This window comes from Homo sapiens, chromosome 19 (assembly GCF_000001405.40).
Source record: "Homo sapiens chromosome 19, GRCh38.p14 Primary Assembly".
Taxonomy (NCBI): Eukaryota; Metazoa; Chordata; class Mammalia; order Primates; family Hominidae; genus Homo; species Homo sapiens.
Window position 1 is genome coordinate 17,549,900 of NC_000019.10, and position 5,749 is coordinate 17,555,648.

Here is a 5,749-nt window from a genome sequence, read left to right on the forward strand (position 1 = left end):
TCCTCCTCCCAGGTTCAAGTGAATCTCCTGCCTCAGCCTCCCGAGTAGCTGGGACTACAGGCGGCACATGCCACCATGCCCAGCTAATTTTTGTATTTTTAATAGAGATGGGGTTTCACCATGTTGGCCAGGCTGGTCTCGAACTCCTGACCTCACATGATCTGACTGCCTCAGCCTCCCAAAGTGCTGGGATTACAGATGTGAGCCACCAGGCCCAGCCTTTGTATCCCATCTCTAATCCTAGGACTTAGGGGGCATCTCCCAATGGCTACTTCCTGTCGCCAACTTGGAAAGGGAGATTGTAGTGACAGGGGCCTTAGGTTTACCACCAGCAAGAGCTTCCAAGATGGCCATAATTTGGGGGATAATTTTTTTATGCAGCAATAGCTAACTAATACACTTCCTAGCTGATCTGGGACAGAGAAACTGATCAATATTTACACTAACTTGGATAAATAGTTAAACAGTCCTAGAAAGACTTCTAAGGCCAGGCACAGTGGCTCATGCCTGGAATCCCAGCACTCTGGGAGGCCAAGATAGGTGGATTGCTTGAGCCTGGGAGTTTGAGACCAGCCTGGACAACATAGCAAGACCCTGTCTCTACAAAAATTTTAAAAATTAGTTGGGTGTGGTGGAATGCACCTGTAGTCCCAGCTACCCGGGAGGCCCAGGTGGGAGGTTTACTTGAGCCGTGGAGATGGGGTGGCATTGAACTATGATTGCACCACTGCCCTCTAGCCCGGGCCACAGAGAGAGACCCTGTCTCAAAAACACAAACTAACAAATACAAACATGAGTGTTAGAATATTTCAGGATTTGCAATTGGATGTGAGGGATTGTAGATGGGCCCCTGAATTTATTTAACCAGAACCAAACCAACAGGCATTTGGTTTCTAGTCTTCCATACTAACAGCCAATGCCACAGGGATTAATCTTGTACATACTTTTTTTTTTTTTTTTTTTTTTTCAAATGCAGGTTCCTGTGGGCAAATCCCGCAATGGGAACCCTCAGAATTTAAAGTATGTGTGTTTGTCATTTCAACAGAGGGCTGTCCACCAGGGTAGCCTCACTGGTGCCCCTCACCTTTGTCCGGGAGGTTTAGGAGCTGCTTTTAGCTCCTTTTCTGAGAACCTTCTCTCCTATCCTTCACCCTTTCATCTTTTGGCTGCTTATACATTTCTTTTTCTTTTTATTTATTTATTTATTTATTTTTTGAGATGGAGTGTCGCTCTGTCACCAGGCTGGAGTGCAGTGGCAGCATCTTGGCTCACTGTAACCTCCACCTTGCGGGTTCAAGCAATTCTCCTGCCTCAGCCTCCCCAGTAGCTGGGATTACAGGCGTCCACCACCACGCCCGGCTACTTTTGTATTTTTAGTAGACATGGGGTTTCACCATGTCGGCCAGGCTGATTTTGAACTCCTGACCTCAGGTGATCCACCTGCCTCGGCCTCCCAAAGTGCTGGGATTACAAGCGTGAGCCACTGCACCCGGCCTACATTTCTTTTTTTTTATTTTTATTTTTTGAGATGGAGTTTCGCTCTTGTCACCCGGGCTGGAGTGCAATGGCGCGATCTCGGCTAACTGCAACCTCTGCCTCTCGGGTTCAAGCGATTCTCATGCCTCAGCCTCCCGAGTAGCTGGGATTACAGGCGCCCACCACCATGCCCAGCTAATTTTTGTATTTTTAGTAAAGATGAGGTTTCACCATGTTGGCCAAGCTGGTCTTGAACTCCTGATCCTTGGTCTCCCAGAGTGCTGGGATTACAGGCATGAGCCATTGCGCCCAGCCAACATCTCTATTAACTCTGATTTTTTAAGCACTTATTACATGCCAGGCATCTGACACATCTGATTTTTGACGTCCGTATATTTTCCATTATACAGATGAGGAAACTGAGGCTGAGCGGGAAGGAGGGGCTTGTCCCAGGCAGCCAGACTCTGGTGCCCAGATCCAGCCACTCTGCCCACCGCCTTCTCCAGGAACATTCCGGAGCTGAATCTTCACCCACATCTATCTTGTTTCTATTGGATAAATGTCTACAAGTGGAATTTCTGGGCCAAAACGGATGTGCCATCTTTAGGCTTTTGTAACCCCTGCAACTTCAGAAAACTGTACCATTTTATACTCCAAGCAGCAGCATTTATTTGTGTATTTTCCCCAAGGCTTTCTTTATTTTAATTTTTTTTTTTTTTTTGAGACTGAGTCTTGCTCTGTCACCCGGGCTGGAGTGCAGTGGCAGGATCTCGGCTCACTGCAACCTCCGCCTCCCGGGTTCAAGCGATTCTCCTGCCTCAGCCTCCCGAGTAGCTGAGATTTCAGGCACCCGCCACCATGCCTGGTTAATTTTTGTGTTTTTAGTAGAGATGGGGTTTCACCATGTTGGCCAGGCTGGTCTCGAACTCCTGTCCTTAAGTGATCTGCCCCCCTCAGCCTCCCAAAGTGCTGGGATTACAGGTGTGAGCCACCACACGTGGCCTAATTTTTTTTTTTTAAATAATAGAGACAAGGTCTCGCTATGCTGCCCAGGCTGATCTCAAACTCCTGGACTCAAGCAATCCTCCTGCCTTGGCCTCCCAAAGTGCTAGGATTATAGGAGTGATCCACTATGTCCAGCCTCCAAATCCTTTCTAAACACTAGGACTTTTCATGAAAAGAAAAAAGCTATGCCAGTTAGACACACACAGAAATCTCATGATTTTATTTTGAATTTCTTTGACTAAATTGAACTTACAAATAAGTTTATTATGGCCAGGCGTGGCAGTGCACACCTGTAATCCCAGCACTTTGGGAGGCTGAGGCGGGCAGATCACTTGAGCTCAGGAGTTCAAGACCAGCCTGGCGAACATAGTGAGACCTCATCTCTACAAAAAATACAAAATTAGCGGCCGGGAGTGGTGGCTCACGCCTGTCATCCCAGCACTTTGGGAGGCTGAGACAGGTGGATTGCTTGAGCCAAGGAGTTTTGAGGCCAGCTTGGGCAATGTGGTGAAACCTGTCTCTACTAAAAAATAAAATAAATAAATAAATAAATAAATAAATAAATAAATAAATAAAATTTAAAAGAAGCTGGGCTGAGATGGGAGATTTACCTGAGCCTGGGAACTCAAGGCTGCAGTGAGTGGTGATTGCACCACTGCACTCCAGCCTGGGTGATGGGAGTGAGACCCTGTCTCAAAAAACAAAATCCAAATATGTTGATTAGCCATTTACATGTTTGTAGTTTTTTTTTTTTTAATTTCAGTGAATTGCCTGTTCATAGCTTTTTTCTACTTTTCAGGAGTGTTTGCATTTTTCTTATTGATATCTAATAACTCTTTATATCTGAAGGATATGAACGCTTTGTGATACAGGTTACAGATTTTGGGGTTTTTTTCTCCGCTTGCTGTGAGCCTTTTGGGTTTGTTTCCTAGCTCCAAATCTTAACTTGGTGTCAAGTTTCCTGGCTGGGAGACAAGCTTTTACCGACTTCCTCTGCTTGCCAGCAAAGTCATCTGCTAACTGGATATTGGCAGCTTCTCTGCTGTCTTGCAGCTGCTTCCGGAGTGGGTTCCACAGGGATTCCCGTGTGTTCTTGGTTCAGCTTGCAGAGGGACTTTCACACTCCCTGGAGACCGTTTCCTCCCATTCTGTCTGGAGTTTTCGGCCTACCCCAAGACAATGAGATATTCCTGACCTTTCCACCTATTTCCCTCCAACCCCACCTTCCGAAATACATTTGCTCAATACATTTGCACTTCATAGGCTTCTTTAGCTGTCTTCCTTTTACCCCGGACGGGATGTAGATGTTAATTCTGGAACAATTGCAGCTACAAGAATTTGTCATCCTGCCCCTTTTGAGAAAAACATTGTTTGCCCTTGGGTCTAAATCCTTCCAGATGGGATGGGATGTATCTTGTCACCTCCTTTTTCTTACTTAATATGAAAAGACCTTTCCTCATCAAGTCCACAGAGTGTAAATTTGTTTTTACCTTTTTTTTTTTTTTTTTGAGACGGTGTCTCACTCTGTCACCCAGGCTGGAATGCAGTGGTGCGATTTTGGCTCACTGCAACCTCCACCTCCTGGGTTCAAGTGATTCTCCTGCCTCGGCCTCCGTAGTAGCTGGGATTACAGGCGAAGCGCCACCATGACCGGCTAATTTTTTGTGTTTTTAGAAGAGATGGGGGCTTCACCATATTGACCAAGCTGGTCTCGAACTCCTGACCTCAAGTGATCCGCCTGCCTCAGCCTCCCAAAATGCTGGGATTACAGGCGTGAGCCACTGCACCTGGCCTGTATCATTCTTAAAAATTAAGTTTTAGCGGGGCATGATGGCTCACTGGTAATCCCAGCAGTTTGGGAGGCTGAAGGGGGAGGATTACTTGAGACCAGGAGTTTGAGAACAGCCGGGGCAACATAGCGAGACTCCATCTCTACAAAAAATTTAAAAATTAGCTGGGCGTGGTTGAGTGCACTTGTAGTCCCAGCTACTTGGGAGGCTGAGGCAGGAGGATCAGTTGAGCCCAGGAGGTTGAGGCTGCAGTGAGCCATGATCATGTGATCATGCCACTGCACTCTAGCCTGAGCCACAGAGTAAGACCCTCTCTGTGAAAATAATAATAAGCTGGGCGCGGTGGCTCACGCCTGTAATCCCAGCACTTTGGGAGGCTGAGGTGGGCGGATCAGGAGGTCAGGAGTTCGAGACCAGCCTGGCCAATATGGTGAAACCCCATCTCTACTATAAACAAAAATTAGCCGGGCGTGGTGGCGCGTGCCTGTAGTCCCAGCTACTCAGGAGGCTGAAGCAGGAGAATCGCTTGAACCCGGGAGGCGGAGGTTGCAGTGAGCCGAGATCGCGCCACTGTACTCTAGCCGGGGCAATGGAGTGAGACGCTGTCTCAAAAAAAAAAAAAAAGAAAATAATAATAATAATAATAATAATGTTCAGATGTATTTTTTAAAGTTTTTATTGTTTTTAAAAATAGAGGCACGGTCTTGCTATGTTGCACCACTGCACTCCAGCCCGGGCAACAAAGCCAGACTCCGTCTCAAAAAAAAAAAAAAAAAAGTGTGATACTAAGTCAATCAATTTGAAAATGCGGCTCTAGAGTATTGGAAAACAATCCCTTGACAGCGTTTCCATGAAAACATGGCCCTTGTCTCTGGAAGAGCTTGTGCCCAGAACGGTCCATTATCATGCCCTGGCTCTATTTTCACGCCAACCCTATAGGGTCTCTATGATCTCATTTTATAGATGGACAGACTGAGGCTCACATATAGCAAGCCCAAGGCGGGGACTGAATGTGACGCCAGGTCTGTGGACGTCATGACCTTTATTCTCCACAACCCTCAATGACATCCCTGTGAGATCCAAAACCAGGATGGCAAAACCCACGTTGCAGCAGAGGAAACTGAGGCTAAGGTCTCTTGGGTCCCAAACCAGGTCCTAAGTAGCCAAGTCCGCCTGGTGGCACAGCCCGGGTTTTATACATGGGGAAATTGGGCGGCGCATCTGGCGGAGGTCTCAGTGGTAGGAGGCGCCTGGAGGAAGCGCGGGTTCCTAACCCTAACGCTACCCCTAACATCCCTTCCACGCGCTCCGAGCGCTATGTGCCTTTAAGATCGGTGCGGGGGCGGGGCGTCCTGGGTAGGGCTGCAGGTGACGTCACTCCGGGCCTTGGGACTCGGAGAGCGTCTGGAGGCGGGGCCTGGACTTCACGCCCGGCGCGCTCCTCCCCTTTAAGGCGCGCGGCCGGGCGGGGCCCCTAT

General features: G+C 47.9%; 1 protein-coding gene across 15 annotated transcripts in view; it reads left to right on the forward strand.

The window, feature by feature from the left end:
- Window positions 1-5,638, forward strand: part of NIBAN3 (niban apoptosis regulator 3) — a 32,237-nt gene extending 26,599 nt beyond the window's left edge. For 7 of the 15 annotated variants that reach the window (NM_173544.5, XM_017026453.2, NM_001321826.2 and 4 more), the window contains one exon: window positions 3,414-3,944. In NM_173544.5, the coding sequence (NP_775815.3) occupies window positions 3,414-3,664 (251 nt within the window). In that variant the 3' untranslated portion in view covers window positions 3,665-3,944. 15 annotated transcript variants of the gene reach the window in all.